General features: G+C 47.0%; 1 protein-coding gene and 1 long non-coding RNA gene across 2 annotated transcripts in view; one reads left to right on the forward strand and one right to left on the reverse strand.

Annotated features, from left to right (window-relative positions):
- DHRSX (dehydrogenase/reductase X-linked) overlaps positions 1-23,037 on the reverse strand; it is a 281,471-nt gene that overhangs the window by 96,127 nt on the left and 162,307 nt on the right. The window lies entirely within an intron of this gene.
- LOC124905239 (uncharacterized) lies at positions 5,403-22,039 on the forward strand. The gene is made up of 3 exons (XR_007068382.1): positions 5,403-6,284; positions 13,767-13,893; positions 21,873-22,039. It is a non-coding gene; the product is annotated as an uncharacterized LOC124905239 (long non-coding RNA).

Here is a 23,037-nt window from a genome sequence, read left to right on the forward strand (position 1 = left end):
AACGCCCCAAACGTAGTAGTTTAAAAAACAACACCCCTTTATGATCTCACAGTTCTGTAAGTCAGAAGATTGGGTTTAGATTAACAGGATGTCTCCATTTAGAGTCTCACAAGGCTGGAATTAAGGTGTCAGACAAAGCTGAGATGACATCTGTAGCTTAGGATGCTCTTCCAGGCATGCTGAATTGGGAGGCAAAATTCAGCTTCTTGTGGTTGTGAGATTGAGTCACATTTTCTCTCTTTTCTTTGAGACAGAGTCTCACTCTGTTGCCTAGGCTGGAGTGCAGTTTCGCGATCTCAGCTCACTGCAACCTCCGCCTCCCAAGATCAAGTGATTCTCTTGCCTCAGCCTCCCCAGTAGCTGGGATTACAGGTGCCTGCCACCACACCCAGCTAATTTTTGTCTTTTTAGTAGAGACGGGTTTTCTCCTTGTTGGAAAGAGTGGTCTCAAACTCCTGATCTCAGGTGATCCACCGGCCTTGGCCTCCAAAAGTGCTGGGATAACAGGCGTGAGCCACCGCGCCCGGCCAAGTCTCATTTTCATTTTGGCTGTCAGACAATGGTGGCTCTCTGCTTGCTGTGACACCCTCAGCAACTTGTCATATGGGAGTCTGCTTCTTCAAAACCAGCAAAAAGGGCCGGCTGCGGTGGCTCACGCCTGTAATTCCAGCACTGTGATAGGCTGAGGTGGGGAAGATCACCTGAGCTCAGGAGTTCGAGACCAGCCTGGCCAAAAGGGTGAAACCCTGTCTCTACGAAAAATACAAAAATTAGCCAGGCATGGTAGTGGGCGCCTGTAATCCCAGCTACTTGGGAGGCTGGGGCAGGAGAATCGCTTGAACCTGGGAGGTGGAGGTTGCAGTGAGCCGAGATTGCACCACTGCACTCCAGCCTGGGTGATAGAGCAAGACTCTGCCTCAAAAACAACAACAATAATAACAACAAAAACCAGGAAAAGGATCTCTGAGACCATCTCAAGTTTATTTGAAGAAGAAGAATTACTCATTCATCTCACCCTCTTTGAGGCAGGTCCAGCACAGATGATCTCTCCTTTGATTAAACCCACGTATGCCTAGTGTTCCATTATTGGAATGCTAAGCATGTGGAGTTATTTATATCCTACTGCTCAAGGTCATCGCCAAGATCTGATGGCAAAAATTCAAAAACTTGCAACTTCAGGCATAAATGGATTAACTCAAAGTTTTGAATCAAAGAAGATGAGTGAGGCAAGCCTCCATTAGTTTAGAGGTTAATTTTGCCACGGTTGAGAATGTGCCCCAGTCCAGGAAAAACAGACGCCAGTCACCATAGGACCTGTGCTCCGTGCTTTTTCTTTTCTTTTTGAGACGGAGTCTCCCTCTGTCGCCCAGGCTGGAGTGCAATGGCGCCATCTCGGCTCACTGCACCCTTCGCCTCCCGGGTTCAAGTGATTCTCCTGCCTCAGCTTCCTGAGTAGCTGGGATTACAAGTGCACGTCACCACGCCCGGCTAATTTTTGTATTTTTACTAGAGATGGGCTTTCACCACGTTTGTCAGGCTGGTCTCAAACTCCTGACCTCAGGTGATCCACCCGCCTCGGCTTCCCAAAGTGCTGGGATTACAGGCGTGAGCCACCGCGCCTGGCTTTTTTTTTTTTTGAGACAGAGTCTTGCTGTGTGGCCCAGGCTAGAGTGCAGTGGCGCAGTCTCAGCTCACTGCAGCCTCCACCTCCCGGGCTCAGATGATTCTTCTGCCTCACTGTCCCAAGTAGCTGGGATTACAGGCATGCAACGCCACGCCCTGCTATTTTTTTTATTTTTCAGTACAGACGGGGTTTTGCCATGTTGGCAGGCTGGTCTTGAACTCCTGACCTCAGGTGATCCACCTGCCTCGGCCTCCCAAAGTGCTGGGATTACAGGCGTGAGCCACTGCGTGCGGCCCTGTGCTTTTTCCAAGGATGGTTTTGAGGGCTTTGGTATAGAAAGGGAAAAAAGCAGGCAGGAGGGAAAGAGGAAAGAAAAAAAAAAGAAGGAGAGTAGATAAAAGAGGCAAATGATTACATTCTTGTGAGTCTTTGATTGGCACTCTCTGAATACACATTTTACATGGCAAAGTGCGGGTAGAGGAACAGTCAATCACGCGTTCATTTCATGCACAGTAAATCCACTTTTGCATAAGACAAAGTCAACATACAGAAGAGGAAGATGTCAAACATGCATTTGTCTCAGGGTGGGCGGAGAGATCATTTCTAGTCTTATCTTTGTCCCACACTTGTGAAGACAAGTTGTTAATTTACATTGTCAGGGAGAAATTCAACAGAACTCTGTTTTAGGGGAAAGATTTTGGAGCCCACAAGAAATTTCCTTATGAGCAATTTGTGAGAGCATCTCCGCTGGGGAGGGATGTGCAGAAATGAAGAGGCTACAACAAGTGTCTGAAGATAGTCCTGAAGGCCAGGTGCAGTGGCTCATGCCTGTAATACCAGAGCTTTGGGAGGCTGAGGCAGGAGGATTGCTTGAGCCTAGCAGTTCGAGACCAGCCTGGGCAACATGGTGAAACCTCGTGTCTACCAAAAATACAGAAAAAAAAAAAAAAAAAAGCAGCTGGGTGTGGTGATGGTGGTGCATGCCTGTAGTCCCAGCTACTTGGGAGGCTGAGGTGGGAGGATCACTTGAGCTGAGAAGGTCAAGGCTGTGCCACTGCACTCCAGCCTGGGCAACACAGTGACAACCCAATCTCAAAAAAAAAAAAAGATACCCTTCCAGCCAGATGAATGCACATGACCACTGGCATGAGAGGAGGTCGGCATTAAGATACAGGTCCTAAGGACCTTGTTGATAAAACAGGTTGTGGTAAAGAAGCTGGCCAAACCCCATGCAAACCAAGATGGCGACGAGACTGACCTCTGGTCTTCCTCACTGTTCATTATACGCTAACTCTAATGCATTCGCTGCTAAAAGACACTTCCATCAGCCTCATGGCAGTTTACAGATGTCATGGCAATGTCAGGAAGTTACCCTATAGGGTCTAAAAAGGGGAGGAACCCTCAGTTCCCAGAACCGCCCACCGGCTTCCCAGAAAACTCACGAATAATCTTTCCCTTGTTTCGCACAGAATCAAGAAATAACCATAAAAATCACCAACTGGCAGCCCTCGGTGCTGCTCTGCCAATGGAGTGGCCACTCTTTATTCCTTTACTTTCTTAATCAACTTGCTTTCACTTTACTCTATGGACTCACCCCAAATTCTTTCTTGCACAAGATCCAAGAACCCTCTCTTGGGGTCAGGATCAAGACCCCTTTCCAGTAAACAACGCCTCATGTTTTCTATAATAATTTCATTACTTTGTGTGCCCACTGACAATGGTAATGGTCTAACCCGGGGTTGGTCAACTGCAGCCCTCTAGCAAAATCCAGCCCCTTGCCTATTTTTGTGCACCTTGTAAACCAAAAAACTATTTCCACATCTTTTAAACAGTGGGTTAAAAAAAATCAAAAGAAGGATAACACAGTTGACTGTTGGACAACATACATCTGAACTGAGCAGATTCACCCATTTGGACTTTCACCCGAGATGACTCCTCCTCCCTCTTCGTCCCCCCTCCTCCCCCCCTCCCTTCTCCTCCTCCCCTCCCCCTCCTCTCCCTACTCCTGCAGAGTGCAGTGACTCACGCCTATAATCCCAGCAGTTTGGGAGGCCGAGGCGGGTAGATCACGAGGTCAGGAGTTGAAGACCAGCCTGGCCAATATGGTGAAACCCCGTCTCTACTAAAAATACAAAAATTAGCCAGGTGTGGTGGCGTGTGCCTGTAATCCCAGTTACTTGGGAGGCTGAGGCAGAAGAAGTGCTTGAACCCAGGAGACGGAGGTTGCAGTGAGCCGAGATCGTGCCACTGCACTCCAGCCTCGGTGACAGAGTGAGACTCCATCTCAAAAAAAAAAAAAAAAAAGAGAACGAAGACCTTTATGATGATCTACTTCCATTTAGTAAGTAGTAAAATATTTTCTCTTCTCTTCCTTAGCATTTTTTTTCTAGCTGACTTTATAATATACATAACATACAAACTATGTACTAATCGACTCTATGTTATGAATAAAGCTTCCGGTCAAGAGTACACTACCAGTATTTAACTTTTGGGGGAGTCAGAACCTATACATAGATTTTCAACTGCATAGAGGTCAGTACCCCTAACCCCCGTGTTGTTCAAGGGTCAGCTGTATATACATATTTTTTCGAGGTGGAGTTTCCCTCTTGTTGCCCAGGCTGGAGTGCGATGGCGTGATCTCAGCTCACTGCAATCTCCACCTCCCGAATTCAAGCGATTCTCCTGCCTCAGCGTCATGAGTAGCTGGGATTACAGGCACGCACCACCATTCCCAGCTAATTTTTTGTATTTTTAGTAGAGACGGGTTTCACCATGTTGGTCAGGCTGGTCTTGAACTCCCGACCTCAGGTGATCCACCCGCCTCGGCCTCCCAAAGTGCTGGGATGACAGTTGTGAGCCACTGTGCCCGGCCGGGTCAACTGTATTTTGTGCCACGTGATAAATATATACATTTACATCTCAGTGTCCCTCAAGATTCTTAGAACACAGAACTTGCCCATTCATTTACATATTGCGCTGTTGTGGTAGCGATCATATGACCCAAAGAGCTTCACATATTTCCCTATGTGGACTTTTCTTTTCTTTTTTTTTTTTTTGAGATGGGATCTTGCTCTGTCACCCAGGCTGGACTGCAGTGGGGTGATCTCAGCTCACTGCAACCTCCACCTCCCAGGTTCAAGAGATTCTCCTCCCTAATCCTCCTGAGTAGCTGGGATTACAGACACGCACCACTACACCTGGCTAACTTTTTGTATTTTTAGTGGAGGCGGGGTTTCGCCATGTTGGCCAGGTTGGTCTCCAACTCCTGACCTCAAGTGATCTGCCCACCTTGGCTTCCCAAAGTGCTGGGATTGCAGGCATGAGCCACCGTGCCTGGCCCTGCAAGTCTGTTTTGATTGGATTTGTTTGACTTTAAACCCATTCGGAAGAGTTTTCCTAGAATTGCTACACTCGGAGACATGAGGCAATGCTTACTCTGACTTTTGACGTTTTCAAGTGTACAGTTGAAAGTCAACAACATGGGTGAATGTGGCAACCCCTCCTTACACAATCAGAGACAGTCACTGCCAAGCCGCTTCGTGGATTGTCATTAGCTTCCAATGAGAAACAGGTGCACAATCAAGGTCTAAAGATAAAGAGGGTTAAGTGCAAGACAGCAGCCATGACGTGTCGGTCCACGTACAGCCTGTCTGCCTGAGGGCTCAGTGATCCAAAAAGACACTGCAGGTCAGCACTTCAGAGTGTTCGCAACATCCGGGGTTACTTAACCCTGTGGCTTGACAAGCAGCAGAGATTTGCAAACAATGATAGCTTCTGTGCCACTTCAGCCGAACACTGGCTCTGAAAACAGCCTCAGTATCTGACAAGCTCTCATTCCTGGGCTTGTGGCGTGGCTGTCCATTGAGAGAGCCTAAGTATATCTTCATGCCGAGGGGATGGGAGCATTTATATAAATAAATGTTTGCACTGATTACAGCACTGCTGCCAAAGAGCTTGATGGGCGATGATGATCCGATTTCGCCATGGCAGCTTATGTTTACAGAACCCGGCTCCATTGCAGACAGGACATCGAATGTGTAACGCAGTATTTAAATGTCCACTGACATTTACAGCTCGTGTCAGCCCAAGAGGGAAGAGGCGTTGGTGTCCCAGTCTGCCAAGGAGGGCTCCTGCTATGGAATGAATGGTGTCACCCCGAATCTCATGTGTGGAAACCCTAATGCCAAAGGGGATGGTATTTGGAGACGGAGCCTTTGGGAGATGATGATGTTTACATCAGGTCGTGAAGGTGGGATCCTTATGTTGGGATTCGTGCCCTTGTAAGAAGAGACACCAGGGCACACATGCTCCCTCGTGCTCCACCCCCCTCTCTCTCTGCCCTGCGAGACCATCTGTAAACCAAGAAGAGGAACCTCTCAAGTACCCAACCATGGTGCCACCTGGATGTAAACATTTCTGCCTCCAGTACTATAGAGAAATAAATTTCTGTTATTTATGCCACCCCATCTATGGTCCAGTTAACCCTTAAACAACACAGGTTTGAATTGCACGGGTCCACTTCTACGGGCATTTTCTTCTACCTCTGCCACCCCGGAGCCAGCAAGACCAATCCCTCCTGTCCGCTCTCATCTTAGGCTACTCAAGGTGAAGACGATAAGGATGAAGACCTTCATGACGATCCACTCCCACTTCAGAAATAGTAAATATATTTTCTCTTCTCTATGATTTTTAAAAATTTAGTTTGGTGTCCTTTTTTGTTTTTAATTATCTTTCCATAAGTGATTGGGGTACTGGTGGTATTTGGTTACCTAAGTTCTTTAGTGGTGATCTGTGAGATTTTGGTACACCCATCACCCGAACAGTATATACTGCACCCTATTTGTAGTGTTTATCCCTCACCCCCCTCCCACTCTTCCCCCCCAAGACCCCAAATTCCATTTTATCATTCTTATGCCTTTGTGTCCTCATAGCTTAGCTCCCACGTAACACTGAGAACATACGATGTTGGTTTTTCATCCCTGAGTTACTTCACTTAGAATAAAAGTTCCTTATCAGGCGTGGTGGCTCAAGCCTGTAATCTCCACACTTTGGGACGCCAAGGCGGGTAGGTCACCTAAGGTCAGGAGTTCAAGACCAGCCTGACCAACGTGGTGAAACCCTGTCTCTACTAAAAATACAAAAATTAGCTGGGCGTGGTGGCGTGCACCTTTAGTGCCAGCTACTCGGGAGGCTGAGGCAGGAGAATCACTTGAACGTGGGAGGCGTAGGCTGTACTGAGCAGAGATCACACCACTGAACTCCAGCCTGACTCCAGGGCAACAGAGTGAAACTCCATCTCAAAAAAAAAAAAAAAAGAATGAAAGTTCCTTATGATTTTTGATTCTCAAAGTTCCTTATAAGGCGATTCTCCTGCCTCAGCCTCCTGAGTAGCTGGGATTACAGGCGTGCGCCACCACGCCCGGCTAAAAAAAAACAAACAGCATTTTCTTTTCTCTAGCATACTTTAATAATACAGTATACAATACATAAAACATACAAAATATATGTTAATCGACTTTATGGTATTGATAAGGCTTCTGCTCAACAATAGGATATTCATAAGTTTTGGGTGAGTCAAAAGTTATCTTTGGATTTTCAACTGTGCCAGGGACGTGTGTGACGCCCCTAACTCCCACATTGTTCAAGGGTCAACTCTAGTTTTTTGTTGTTGTTGTTGTTGTTTTTGAGATGGAATCTTGCTCTGTCGCCCAGGCTGGAGTGCAATGGTGTGATCTTGGCTCCCTGCAATCTCCGCCTCCCAGGTTCAAGCGATTCTCCTGCCTCAGCCTCCTGAGTATCTGGGATTACAGGCGCCACACCCAGCTAATTTTTGTATCAAGGTCAACTGTATTTTCTTGCAACAGCCAGAGCTGACTAAGACAGTCTTGAAGCTCAAAGAGGTACAAGAACCTACCCAAAGTTATCCAACCAACAAGCACCTGGAAGGCAGAATAAAGACTCAGGTAGCCAAGCGCCATAGCCACACCATGGTAGAGCTATTCTGCCTTGTAGAGATGCATTGAATCTGTCACAGGGTGAATACATCTCCAAATGCATTTGAAAACTCCTACGGGATGCTACAGAAACACGTGAGGGAAGAGTGGGTGTGGACATACTCTCCATCTGTTACACTCAGAGTACTCCAACTACAGGAGTGAGATGCCTCAAGACAGGCCAAGGCAGAAACAAGCATCACTATGAACCCCAGAATAGATATGTTTTTTGGCCAGACACGGTGGTACACGCCTGTAATCCCAGCACTTTAAGAGGCCCAGGTGAGAAGACTGCTGGAGGCCAGGAGTTTAAGACCAGCCTGAGCAACAGAGGAAGATCCCATCTCTACAAAATATTTAAAATATATACATAGCTGGGAATGATGATGCGTACCTACAGCCCCAGCTACTTTAGACACTGTGGTGGGAAGATCACTCGAGCCCGGGAGGCTGAAGCTGTCGTGAGCCACAGTCACACCACTGCACTCCAGCCTGGGTGACAGAGTGAGATCCGGTCTCGAAAAAATCATCATTATCGTCACAGTAATGAGAGGAATTTTAGGTGATAGGTGGTTACTAATTTCAAAAATAGGGGCTTCCGGTTTCTCCTCTAATGATACAGGGGTTAAGAAGAAATGACTTAAGCAGATAGTAAAAATTAGCTGGGTGTGGTGGTGCACACCTGTCATCCCAGCTACTTGGGAGGCTGAGATGTGAGGATCACCTGAGCCTCGGAAGTTGAAGTTGCAGTGAGCCATGATCACACCACTGCACTCCAGCCTGGGTAACAGATGGAGACCCTGTCTGGAAAAAAAAAAAAAAAAAGATTTTGCACAAAGTTTTACGATGACTCTGCTTTGTAATTAAAAGTAATTTCTGCTTTGTTGGTGATTTCTCACACATTTATCTGGTAGACCAGATACCTGCATGTGATAGGGTAAGAAGGACCCATTTCCCTCCAAGGAGAACAGCATTGCAAGGGGGTTGAGGACGCATGCATGTGGAATCCAAACATTGAATGCACTGAGACGGCGCTGCATGAAGCCTGTCTGTGAGTTTATGATGAAGCTGCACAGAGCTCCGTAGGCGGCTCTCACTCCTCTCTCTCAGCCTTTGGCTTCAGTTTAATTGCATACACACCCTTCAGAGCTGCTCGGGGCCCCCACTTCTTCAGCCTTCTGGCATTTTTCTAAGAAACACTAAACCTCTTTCCAACGTTGCCCTTGGATTTTGTGTGCACGTCTTCCAGCCCTTGAGCTGCTTGACCTGTGCTTGCAAGGGTTCCATAACACTGGATAGGACAGAAGCTCCGCCCAGCCCCAGGTGAAAGCTCTGTGCTCTTCAGGGACCATGTCCTATTCACACTGTCTCCCTCACATCTAATACAGTCATGATACTCGGCAATATAGTACTCCACCCAACAGGCAACTCAGAGTCTGCCAGTGATACAGGAGTTAAGAAGAAATCACTTAGGCAGACAGTAAGGGTATGGGAGTCCTCGGCAAGGCTTTTTTCTTTTCTTTTTTTTTTTTTTTTTGAGATGGAGTCCCGCTCTGTCGCCCAGGCTGGAGTGTAGTGGCGTGATGTTCGCTCATTGCAACCTCCGCCTCCCGGGTTCAAGCAATTCGCCTGCCTCAGCCTCCTAAGTAGCTGGCATTATAGGTACGCACCACCAAGCCCGGCTAATTTTTGTTTTGTTTTTTTTTTTTTTAGTAGAGACGCGGTTTCACTGGTCAGGCTCGTCTCGAACCCCTGACCTAATGATCCACCCGCCTCAGCCTCCAAAAGTGCTGGGATGACAGGTGTGAGCCACTGCGCCCGGCAGCTTTTCTCTTTAACGAAAAGCAGCCCCAAGTCATTTTCTAACAATGAACAGCCTGTCAAGTCGAGCTGCAGACATACACAAGCCAGCTGGGAGCTTGTACGGGTGAATGTCGGGAGGACCTAGGGACTAGACACGTTCAAGATGGCGGCTCCATCTTCCCGGGAGGAACTAACGACTAGACACGTTCAAGATGGCGGCTCCATCTTCCGGGCAGGAACTAGGGACTAGACACGTTCAAGATGGCGGCTCCATCTTCCCGGCAGGAACTAGGGACTAGACACGTTCAAGATGGCGGTTCCATCTTCCCGGCAGGAACTAGGGACTAGACACATTCAAAACGGCGGCTCCATCTTCCCAGCAGGAACTAGAGACTAGACACGTTCAAGACAGTGGCTCCATCTTCCCTCCTCTTTGTCAGCCACATGTAAAGTAAGAAAAACAGGACCGAGAGCCCCGACCAACTACAAAGCCCATTTGCATAACCGATTAGGGTGGGCAACCAGCCTTTCCTGTGGGCTATGTAAATGTCATGCTTGATGGAACCAATCTCTCGGAGAGCCCCGACCAACTACAAAGCCCATTTGCATAAACGATTAGGGTGGGCAACCAGCCTTTCCTGTGGGCTATGTAAATGCCATGCTTGATGGAACCAATCTCTGAGCTCTATGTAAATGAGACACCGCCTCCTCAAACTGGACTATAAAATCCATCACATTTGGTGCCAGCTGGTCCTTTCCGCTCGGAGACCCCTTTCTCTATAGAGAAAACCATTTCTCTTTCTCTTCTCCTGATTAAACTTCCACTCCTAAACTCCTCGTGTGTGTCTTTGTCCTAAATTTTCCTGATGCCCAATGACGAACCCCAGGGTATATACCCCAGACAACGTAGCCACTTCACTAACATGTAGAGAGCTTGCGCATTTTAATTCCTATCCTCACAATAGGCAAAGAGCAGAACATACTGAAAATCAGCAACTCTGCGATCCATCAGAAAATAGAGATCACAAGACGAAATGCTGCCTGAAGACTGGACAGACAGGTGGCAAGTGGAATTGTGCTTGTCTAGGAGTTCCTGCTGGAGCCAGCACCTGATGGACACATTTGCAGGGTAATTATTAAACAGCTGCAGGCTGACAGTGGACAAGCCTAAGTAAGTTAAAAACTCCTGGCCAGGCATGGTGGCTCGCACCTGTAATCCCAGCACTTTGGGAGGCCAAGGCGGGCAGATCACCTGAGGTCAGGAGTTCGAGACCAGCCTGGCCAACATAGTGAAACCCCGTCTCTACTAAAAATACAAAAATTAGCCGGGCGTGGTGGCAGGCACCTGTAATCCCAGCTACTCGGGAGGCTGAGGCAGGAGAATTGCTTGACCCTGGGAGGTGGAGGTTGTAGTGAGCCCAGATCGCACCACTGCACTCCAGCCTGAGTGACAGAGCGAGACTCTGTCTCAAAAAACAACAACAACAGAAAAACTTCTGGGGGCCCATCTTAGAGGGGACCTTGTACTTTCACAAATTTTACCTCCGGGAGCTCCACCAGGTTCCCAGGGTGAAGATCAAAGAAATATCCAGTTGTGTGTTATTGGGGGAAAGTAACCACTTTGCAATATTCCTAGGGAGACAGTAGCATTTTGAAGTATGCCCAAAGCAATCCGTGTCCTCTCTGCCCTCAAAGGAAATTACTTTAGCGCAGTCAAAGTGAACTGGGGGAAGGGAAATCTTCTATTTCAGTTTTTCTTTTTTTTTTTTTTCTTTCCAGGCAGATTTTCACTCTTGTTGCCCAAGCTGGAGTATAATGGCGCAATCTCGGCTCACTGAAACCTCCACCTCCAGGGTTCAAGCGATTCTCCTGCCTCAGCCTCCTGAGTAGCTGGGATGACAGGTGCCTGCCACCATGCCCGGCTAATTTTTCGTATTTTTAGTAGAGATGGGGTTTCGCCATGTTGGCCAGGCTGGTCTCGCACTCCTGACCTCAGGTGATCCACCCGCCTCAGCCTCCCAAGGTGCTGGGATTACAGGCGTGAGCCACCGTGCCCGACCAGATTTCAGTTTCTATTAGCTTTCAACAACACTTTTCGTGCATGAGTGACGCTGGCGGCCATGTACTCAGCCATTCCATCAAGGTTCCAAGCAGCAAAGCTGCAAAATGGATCTGACTCCTTCAGTGAAGAAGAGTCTCCCTGAATGCATTGGAAACACTCATGAGATGCTACTGAAGCAAGTAAGGGAAGCCTGACTGTGGACATGCTCTCTGTCTCTTAGGCTCACAGTACTCCAACCACAGAAACGAGATGCCTCAAGGGAGGCAGAGGCAGAAAGAAGCCATCACTATAAACCCAAGAATAAAGCCAGCAGAGCTACAGTGATGGCCTGTGTGCTGCAGGTGAGCATCACCTTGTTGTAAGGCCACAGGCTTTCCTGGCCACCCTGCTCAGTTGGCCTCGTGGTGGGAGTCACTAGACTCAAGATAGACCCAGCCAGACCATCTGGTTAGAGCTACCCAAGGAAAAGCCATTGTCAGCACAAAGTCACTGGAGTCTTAGAATGCACAGCTGTGATGGGCTGATTCCTTCTCCCAAATCCCTATGTTAAAGCCCTAACGCCCAGGACCTCAGAATGTCACCATATTTGGAGATAGTCTTTAAAGAGGTGATTAAGGTAAAACAAAGTCACCAGGGAGGCCCCTAATCCGAGAAGACTGGGATGCTTATAAGAAGAGGAGATGAGGCCGGGTGTGGTGGCTCACGCCTGTAATCCCAGTACTTTGGGAGGCTGAGGTGGGTGGATCACGAGGTCAGGTGATCGAGACCATCCTGGCTAACACGGTGAAACTCCATCTCTACTAAAAATAGAAAAAATTAGCTAGGCATGGTGGCACGCACCTGTAGTTCCAGCTACTTGGGAGGCTGAGGCAGGAAAATCGCTTGAACCTGGGAGGTGGAGCTTGCAGTGAGCCGAGATCCCGCCACTGCACTCCAGCCTGGGCGACAGAGCGAGACTCCGTCTCAAAAAAAAAAAGAGGAGGAGATGAGGACACAGACACACAGAGTGACGACCCTGCGAGGACACAGTGAGAAGATGGCATCTACAAGCCTACAAGAGAGGCCTCAGGAGGAACCAGCCCTGCCTACACCTTGATCTTGGACTTACAGCCTCCAGGATTGTGGGAGAATAAACGTCTGTTGTTTACAAGCCACCCAGTCTATGGTATTCTGTGATAGCAGCCTGAAATGGACTAAGACACCTCATAAGAAAAGGAGATGAGGACACAGACACACACATTGGGACAACCCTGTGAGGACACAGGGAGAAGATGGCGTCTCCAAGCCCAGGAGAGAGGCCTCAGGAGGAACCAGCCCTGCCCATACCTGGATCTCAGACTTCCAGCCTCCAGGACTGTGAGAGAATCAATGTCTGTTGTTTATAAGTCACCCAGTCTATGGTATTCTGTGATAGCAGCCTGAGATGGACTAAGACACCTCATAAGAGGAGATGAGGACACAGACACACACAGAGGGGCGACCCTATGAGGACACAGGGAGAAGACGGTGTCTACAAGCCCAGCAGAGAGGCCTCAGGAAGAACCAGCCCTGCCCACACTTTGATCTCACAGACTTCCAGCCTTCAGAACTGTGGGAAAATAAAAGTCTGCTGTTTAAGCGGCCCAGCCTGTAGTATTTTGTCATGGCAGCCCTAGGTGACTAATACAACAGGTGTTTCATCCTGTTCCTTTCCTCAGGTGGTGTTGCAGAGTACCCCAGCATCTTTAGGTGGTGGTAGAAGAGACTCCAGCATCTGCCATAACCCCCGGAAGAGTGTTCTGTATGTTACACTGTGGGGAGGTTTTCCTCAAAGCATTAGAGTGATCTGAACAATGGGAATCTTTGCACAGAGGAGGATGAGTTCTACTCGGGGATGGTACCTACTAAGAGAGACATGTTGTCTTCTCTTCAATTGCCCTTTAATGAAGAAATAAAAATTATTTAATTATTCGGTGAAGAAATAAAAAGAGTATTGCATTCTTTCAACAGAGATTCTGCACTTGTACTCCCAGGTATTTATGAAACCTCATGTTGATGCCTGGTGCATAGGCCAGGCAGTGGGGCTCTACCTAAGTAATGCCTGGTGGTTGGCCATGGGTAGCTGGAGCACCAATAGCATACTCTAATAGTCCATGACATCGGTCTACTCAAGGGCCATGGCTCAAATAGAAGGCTTTGTTTGGAGGAATTCAAAAGAGGTTCTACTGAGAAGGAACCTATGAATCAGTGCTGCTACAATACTTTTGGATTGTGCGGTTCAAACGCCATATTGGTTTTCTTCCAGCTCTCCAGCTCCAGCAGCACTGAGGCAGATCTGAGTTTCTCGAAGCTGGGCCCATCACCAACAAGACAGTGATGGTGAAAGCAATGATAGAAGAGGTCGAATTTAGAGTAAGGATCAGGATGGACAGGTGGGTACATCTATGCAACCCTAACCTTTCTGAAACTACTAGGCATAGATATTTTCCTGAAGACTAGTCTCAGCCTGCATGGATGGTCCCTCATGGCTACTGTCTCATTTGAAAAGTGAACCTATGAAAAGAGGAAAACACTATGACATCCACCACTGTTTGGTCACACCAATTCTTGACATTAACTCTCTCGAAGGACATTAGTATGACCTTCAAATCCTAGCCCGCAGGAAAGCTTCACTTTAGTTGTTTGTTTCCTGGGTGTCCCTTCCTACAACCCACGAAGCAAATGCCACACACCCTCCTTACATGCATAAAACAGTGCTGATAATGGATGAAACACACAAGTATCAGCTCATGCCTGCACTTTCAGAGAAAACACTCTTGCTTAGACCATGGGTATGTCAAGCTGCCAAGGATACAAAAGGTAAAACAATCCAAGGGCAACAGATGGTTCATGACAAAGAACTAAGAGGGCAGCACTGCGATTCCAAAAATTTGGATATGGACGTCAATGAGAGTGAATGAGAGAGAAGCAGAGAGACGGCGGGGGGGGGGGGGGGGGGGGGAGGGAGGGAGAGAGAGAGAGAGAGAGAGACAGAGAGAAAGGAAGGAGGAGGAGGAGAAAGGAAGGAGGAGGAGGTGAAAGAGGAGGAGGAGAAGCAGGAGGAGGGGGAAGAGGAGGTGAAGGAGAAGGGAAAAAAAAAGTAGAAGGGGCCAGGTGCGGTGTCTCATGCCTGTAATCCTAGCACTTTGGGAGGCTGAGGCAGGTGGATCACGAGGTCAGGAGACTGAGATCATCCTGGCCAACATGGTGAAACCCCATCTCTACTAAAAATACAAAAATTAGCTGGGCAGGGTGGTGCATGCCTGTAATCCCAGCTACTCAGGAGGCTGAGGCAGAAGAATCGCTTGAACCGGGGAGGCAGAGGTTGCAGTGAGCTGAGATCGCGCCACGGCACTCCAGCCTGGCAACAGAGTGAGACTCCGTGAAAGAAAAAAAAAAAGAAAAGAAAAGGGAAGGGAAGGGAGGGGAGGGGAGGGAAGGGGAGGGGAAGAGAGGGGAAGGGAAGGAAAGGGAGAAGGAGAAGGAGGAGGAGAGAAAGGGAAGGAGAAGAAACGAAAGAAGATGAAGGAGAAGAAGGAGAAGGAGGAGGAGAAGTAGGAGGAGATGAGGGGCAGGAGAAGGAGGGGAAGGAAGAAGTAGGAGGGGAAGAGGAGGGAAGAGAAGAGGAAAGAAGACAGGGAGAGAGAATAAGAGAATGAGAAAGAGAGAATGAAGGAGAGAATAAATGAAAGAAGAGAGAGATGAGAAAACCTACTTGTGAAAGAGGCCTCAGTAGAAGAAAAGAGAATGAGCAAAGAGCCTGGTCCAGGCCACTCTAAATGTCTCTCAAATGTTAAAGACTGATGAAGGAGGAGCAGGAAGACTTATCACACGTCCAAGGAGACAATGTTGAGCGACCCGCAAACTTAGCAGAAGGGAGAACAGGCTCTGGAGATGTCCAGTAATGGGGTAGAGCCCAGACTCCCACACTTGGTAGTTGTACCCTTCAACCTGGAGAGGCCTCAGTTTTCTCATCAGTGAAATGGGCCCAAGAATAGTATCTATCTCAAGAAACCATTTTCTCTGCTCCTTCATGAGAAGAAACTCCTCTTCCATTCCAGTTTTATCATGAGATTACAGGAGTTCAGCCCCATCTTCAACCTGCACCTTTACTTCTGCTATTTTCACCATAGCAGAAGTGACTTCCTCCACTGAAGTCTTGAACCCCCTCAATGTCATTCATGAATATTGGAATTCACTTTTTCCCGATTTCTGTTAATGTGGATATCTTAACTTCCTGCCATGAATCACCAAGGTTCTAAATGGCATTCAGAATGAGGAATCCTTTCAGGAAGGTTTTTTGGTTTTTTTTTTTTTTTTTTTTTTTTTTTTGAGACGGAGTTTTGCTCTTGTTGCCCAGGCTGGAGTGCCATAGCGCGATCTTGGCTCACTGCAACCTCCACCTCCCAGGTTCAAGCGATTCTCCTGCCTCAGCCTGCCGAGTAGCTGGGATTACAGGTGCCCGCCACCATGCCCAGCTAATTTTTTTGTAGTTTTAGTAGAGATGGGGTTTCACCATGTTGGTCAGACTGGTCTCAAACTCCTGACCTCAGGTGATCCACCTGCCTTGGCCTCTCAAAGTGCTGGGATTACAGGCGTGAGCCACCACGCCCGGCCCTGACTCGAATTTTGAAAAAAGTTCTACTCTGGGTAAAACCCTATCAAACAGCATCGCTTGATACAGAAAAATCTTTCATGACAGAAAGGGTCAACTGATGTGACAAACATCACTGTTGTCTATTTTAAGAAATTGCCAAAGCACCCTCTACCCTCAGCAACCACCACCCTGATCAGTCCACAGCCAGCAACATTGAGGCAAGACTCTCCACCAGCAATAAGGTTTTGACTCGCGAAATGTTCAGATAATTGTTAGTATTGTTTACCAATAAAGTATGCTTAAATTAAAAAATATATATCGTTGGAATGGTGTATGGATACACCACAAAACAGTCTTAGCATAATGCTCACCATTCACTAAGTGCTCAATAACGACATTATTAACTTTGCCAATTCCTCTGTTTATTGCTCAGAAGGATGATGCATTTGTCAGGAGAAGCAAAGAAAAAGATTCTTGAAAAGATCATGGTGACATTGCTGAAAGGTCGGGGAGAAAACACAAACAGACTGAATGGGTCCTGTGAAGCTCAAGGGTGTGGGTAGCTCGTAAGAAAGGCTATGAGCAGAGATTACGCTGGAGAAATATGCCAGGAAGGGAAGGGAAGGGATGGTCAGAAGCTAGTTAGTGTGTGCAGTGATATTTTCACAATGCTTTTGAAATCAGCGTGTTAATTGGCTAAATGAGCCACTGGCTGGATGACAGTATGTGAGCATTAGCTGCTCTATGTCAGCTGGGATTCTAGGAAAACAGATTGTGCCAAACATTTGGATATCCAGAGGAGGCACAACAACTGTGCATTAGAAATAGGACTTATGTTTCCCACCCAACTACCTCTCTCTGGGGCCTGACCTGCCGTCTAAAAACAGTCCACCCCAATGCAGCCTCCAGTCACTCTGCCAGGTATTGACCCAGAGTCTTGATTCTATGCAACAAATAAGATCTTTGCATTTTAACCCATTGAGTTTTAGTAAGAATCTTCGACAAGAAGATTTCTTCCAGAGAACCAAAGCAGGAGTTGCAAGATTGCAAAGGGCACACTGAGGTCTTAAATATCCATCTGATTTGGCCAGGAATGTGATCGATCAAAAACTCAGGAATTTTCCTGGTCATCGTTGTCTAACGTGTATTCAGAATGTACTCTGCGGTGAGTACCATTTTACGAAAAGACTCACTGGCCAAGACTATGGGCGTGAGGTAACTAACAATCAGGGGGCTTGGTTTCATTTTGTTGAAAAAAAGTTCAACAAAGACATCCACAAAGAAATAGGTGATGGGCCTTTGCCTACTCATTTCTTTGCTCGTTTTGCTATTTACCCATTCCCCTGTTTTCTTGCCCTGTAAAATGGACACAATACTCAAGCTTCCCATTGGTGTCAATGTTTACATTCACGATGGGTAAAAAAAGGTATTTCATGATTTGAAAAGTGTGATGCATTTTATTCTTTTTTATAACTTTAACACCTTTTAATTTTTTGAACGTTTTTGAGTCATCATAACACATAGCTTAAAACACATACACACGTGGTGCAGCTGTACAAACATGTATTTTTTTAAACTTGTATGTTAGATTCGGGAGGAGTCCATGTGCAGGTTTGTTGCACAGGCAAATTACGTGACATGGGAGTTTGGTGTACAGATTATTTTGTCACCCACATAATCAGCACAATATCTGATATGCAGTAGAGACAGAGTGCCACTCTGCCGCCCAGGCTTGAGTGCAATGGTGCGATCCCGGCTCACTGCAACCTCCGCCTCATGGGTTCAAGTGATTCTTGTGCCTCAGCCTCCCGAGTAGCTGGGATTACAGATGCCTGCTACTCTGCCTGGCTAATTTTTGTATTTTTAGTAGAGACAGGGTTTCACCATCTTGGCCAGGCTGGTCTCGAACTCCTGACCTCGTGATCTGCCCACCTCGGCCTCCCAAAGTGCTGGGATTACAGGTGTGAGCCACTGCGCCCGGCCAATAGGCAGCTTTTTAATCCTCCCTCTCCTCCCACCCTTCACCCTCAAGCAGACCCCAATGTCTGTTGTTCCTTTCTTTGAGGCCACCTTTACTCAATGTTGAACTTCCAATTATAAGTGAGAACATGCGATATTTGCTTTTATGTTCTTGTATTAGTTTGCTAAGGACAATGATCTCCAGCTCCATCCATGTTCCTGCAAAAAATAATAAGATCTTGTTCTTTTTTACAGCTGCACAGTATTCCACGACGTACATGTACCACATTTTCTTTACCCAGTCTACCACTGATGGGTATCTAGCTTAATTCCCATGTCTTTGCTATTGCAAATAATGCTGCAATGAACATTCATGTGCAAAAGTGTCTTTACGGTAGAATAATTGGTATTTCTTTAGGTATGTACCCAGGAATGGTTGCTGGGTTGAATGGTAATTCTGTTGTTTTAACTCAAAAGTATGCTTTTTTTTTTTGAGACACAGTCTTACTCTGTCACCCAGGCTGGAGTGCAATGGCATGATCTTGGCTCACTGCAACCTCCACCTCCTAGGTTCAAGTGATTCTCCCTGCCTTAGCCTCCCAAGTAGCTGGAATTCTAGGCACCTGCCACCATGCCTGGCTAATATTGGTATTTTTAGTAGAGACGGAGTTTCACCATGTTCGCTAGACTGGTCTCGAACTCCTGACCTCAGGTGATTCGCGTGCCCTGGCTGGGATTACAGGCGTGAGTCACCGGACCCAGCCGCCTATTTTCTTTCTTTAAGAGATAAGGTCTTGGTCTCTCAGCCAGGCTGGAGTGCAGTGATTTGAGCACATCTCACTGCAGCCTCAAACTCCTGGGCTCAAGTGATCCTCCCGCCTCAACCTCCCCAGTAGCTGGGACCACATGTACACACCACCATGCCCAGCTATTTTTGAAAAATTTTTGTAGAAATGGCATCTTGCTGTGTTGCCCAAGCTGCTCTCAAAGTCCTGAGCTCAAAATAATCCTCCATCTTCTGAAAGCATTGCGATTATGGGTGTGAAGTTTCTTTGACTTTAATATTTTAACTTAATTTATAACAGTATTTTTGAATAAGGGACTCTATCCATCACTATTTAATTCTATAATTGTATATATTTGCAGGCCCCTCCAAGCCTTTGTGAACCCTGAATATCTGAGATGGTGTCAGTTAATTTAGAAAGTTAAGTCCGGGCGTGGTGGCTCACGCCTGTAATCCCAGCACTTTGGGAGGTCGAGGCGGGCGGATTGTCTGAGGTCAGGAGCTCAAGACAAGTCTGGCCAACATGGTGAAACTCCGTCTCTACTAAAAATGCAAAAAAAACTTTAGCTGGACATGGTGGCGGGCACCTGTAATCCCAGCTATTGAGGAGGCTGAGGCAGGGGAATCGCTGGAACCAGGGAGGTGGAGGTTGCAGTGAGCCGAGATCGTACCACTGCACTCCAGCCTGGACAACAGAGTAGGACTCCATCTCAAAAAAAAAAAAAAAGAAAAATTTATTTTGCCACAGTTGAGGACGCACCCATGACACAGCCTCAGGTGGTCCTGACGACATGTTCCCAAGGTGGTCAGGGCACACGCTGGTTTTATACATTTTAGGCAGACATGAGACATCAATCAATATATGTTGAGAGGTACACTGGTTCCATCCAGAAACACGGGGACGACTCGAAGTGGGGAGGGGGCTTCCAGGTCATAGGTGGATAAGAGACAAATGGTTGCATTCATTATTTTTTTGGGGTGTGTGTGTGTGTGTGTTTAGACAGAGTATTGCTCTGGCACCAGGCTGGAGTGCAGTGGCGCGACCTCGGCTCACTGCAACCTCAGCCTCCCAGGTTCAAGCCATTCTCCTGCCTCAGCCTCCCGAGTAGCCGGGACTACAGGTGCCCGCCACCATGCCCAGCTAGTTTTTAAAATATTTTTAGTAGAGATGGGGCTTCATCATATAGGCCAGGATGGTCTTGATCTCTTTACCTCGTGTTCTGCCTGCCCTGGCCTCCCAAAGTGCTGGGATTACAGGCGTGAGCCACCGCACCTGGCCAGGAGTAACTTTGAATAAAACGGGAGGCAAGTTTGCTCTGAGAAGTTCCCAGCTTGACTTTTCCCTTGAGCTTAGTGATTTGGGGACCCCAAGATTTTCCTTTCAAACCTTCTTAAATTATTGTTACTGTCACTATGCTTCCATCTTTCATGAACTTAGGCGACATCCATGGAGGTATCATTTGCAGATTCAAAGTAGCTCTTTCAACTTCTGAGTCATGGAGCACAGTGTCTTTAATATCATGCTTTTGTTTTTGTTTTTGTTTTTTTGTTGTCGTTGAGACAGAGTCTTGCTCTGGTACCAGGGAGTGCAGTGGCGTGATCTCGGCTCACTGCAACCTCCGCCTCTCAATTTCAAGCCATTCTCCTGCCTCAGCCTCCCAAGTAGCTGGGACTACAGGCGCCCGCCACCATGCCCAGCTAGTTTTTTTGTACTTTTAGTAGAGACGGGGTTTCACCCTGTTGCCCAGGATGGTCTCGATCTACTGACCTCATGATCCGCCTGCCTCACCCTCCCAGAATGCTGGGATTACAGGCGTGAGCCACCACGCCAGACTGCAGTAGTGAGTCTTAGTCACTCACTGTGAAGTTCCCTGCAGTTTCTTTTTCAAAAGCATTTTGCTGTGGATAACGCATTCTCATTACGTCAGACATCTGCAGTAACATTTATCTAGCAACAAGGTTAACTGCCTTCACATCAACAAAAACAGGTTGTGTTGCCAGCAAAGAAGAATGCCAGTTCTCTTTTCCATCCCATAATACTTGTCATCAGTACTGGGGTATCCTGTTCACCTTCTCCCATGCTGTGAGATTAATTTAGAGAACATATTCACGGTATTTTGTTTTTTGTTTTGTTTTTTTTTTTTGAGACGGAGTTTTGCTGTTGTTGCCCAGGCTGGAGTGCAAAGGCATGATCTTGGCTCACTGCAACCTCTGCCTCCCAGGTTCAAGTGAGCCTCCAGAGGAAGCACAGTACTGCCCACATCGTTATTTCAGACTTCTGGTCTCCAGGACTGGAAAAGAATAAACTTGTTGTGGCTTTAAGACTTCCAAGTGTGTGGTCGTTTATTACAGCAGCCCTAAGATAGATAGATAGATATAGATAGATAGATTTATTTTACTTTAAGTTGCAAGATACATATGCAGAACATGCAGGTTTGTTACATAGGTATACATGTGCCATGCTGGTTTCCTGCACCCATCAACCCGTCATCTAGGTTTTAAGCCCTGCTTGCATTAGAAATGGGGTTTCGCCATGTTGGCCAGGCTGGTCTTGAACTCCTGACATCATGATCCACCCACCTCGGCCTCCCAAAGTGCTGGGATTACAGGCGTGAGCCACCGCGGCTGACCTTTATTGCTCTTTCTATGTAAAACCAGAAAAGCCAACAAAGCTATTTCCCGTAATGACATGCCCAAGTCCTAACCCCCAAACACCGTGAATGTGAACTGATTTGCGAATAGGGTCTTGGTAGATGCATTCTCGTTAAGGATATCAGGACAGGATCATCCCAGGTTCAGGACTGATGGACACTTCAAACTTTCATTCTATATTCTTTCACACGAGTAGTGTTGTTTGGCTCTGAGAAGCACTTTCATTTTTATTTCCAGGCAATTTCATATCGTTCTCTTCAATTCAGTGAGTGCAAAAGAAGCAAGACAGGGAGTGATATAAAATTACTGCTAATAGAAAATTCACTTTTAATCTTGCTTAAAACAAGTTTTTTTGTTTTTTGTTTTTTTGTAAAATGAAGGAGAGAGCTGAACTTCAAGGATGCGAATTTATTTCCACACAGGGGAGAAACACTGATTGGAGAAAATTTACAGTTGCTGTTTAGACACTTGAGCCTCAGGATCGAGAAAAGGTGCACCTCTTAGATGGGCCTTAAATTGGAGATGATGATATCTAACCACCTGGAGACGGGAAAGTAGGTGTCACTCAATGCTGAACGGTGCTACTCATCTGTGAGATTGTATAATGAAGTTTTGGAGACTGAGCCTGTACCTTCATCTGTTCTTTAACCAATGCACACTTAACAAGCACGTCATGTTTAGCTGCTCAGCAGAGCTTCCTTCTTCAGAAACAGAGACGGGGTGCGGAGGCATTTTACAACCCAGGGGGCTCCAGCTTCATAGACTGTCTTGTGAGGATCTATGCTGTTACTCTGAGGATCAGCGTTGGTTTTCCAAGTCCTTCATGAACATAACAAGTCAATGATAAGACGACAAGTTCCACCGCTGTGCCTCAGCTGAGACAAAAAAAAAAAAAAAGCTGGAATCATTTAGAAATAACAATCCCAGGCCAGGCATGGTGGCTCATGCCTGTAATCCCAACATTTTGGGAGGCCGAGGCCAGCAGATCACCCGAGGTCAGGAGTTCAAGACCAGCCTGGTCAACATGGTGAAACCCCGTCTCTACTAAAAATGCAAAAATTAGCCAGGCATGGTGGTGCGCGCCTGTAATCCCAGCTACTTGGGAGGCTGAGGCAGGAGAATCGCTTGAACCTGGGAGATGAAGGTTGCGGCGAGCCGAGACAGTGCCATTGCACTCCAGCCTGTGCAACAGAGCGAGACTCTGTTTCAAAAAAATAAAATAAAAATAGAAAAAGGAAGTCACACTCACAACCATTCTACAAGCAGGAGACCCAGAATATTTTGCTTTAGAATCTACAGGCTCTGCTTTAAAATTCCTCCTCTCCCAAACTCAGGTTAAAATGTAAGCCTCAGTGCTGGATGGGAGGTCGAATGGGAGGGGTTTGAGCAACGGACGATGGATTCTTCCTGAAGAGATCAATGTCCTTTCTTGAAGCATGAGTGAGTTTTTACTCTATGAGTTCTCCACAGGCTGGTTGTTAAATAGAGCCTGGCGTCTCCCGTCTGTCTTCCCTCCTGTCTCTTCGTGTGGTCTCTGTACACATA

The sequence above is a fragment of the Homo sapiens genome, chromosome X, assembly GCF_000001405.40.
Source record: "Homo sapiens chromosome X, GRCh38.p14 Primary Assembly".
Classification (NCBI taxonomy): Eukaryota; Metazoa; Chordata; class Mammalia; order Primates; family Hominidae; genus Homo; species Homo sapiens.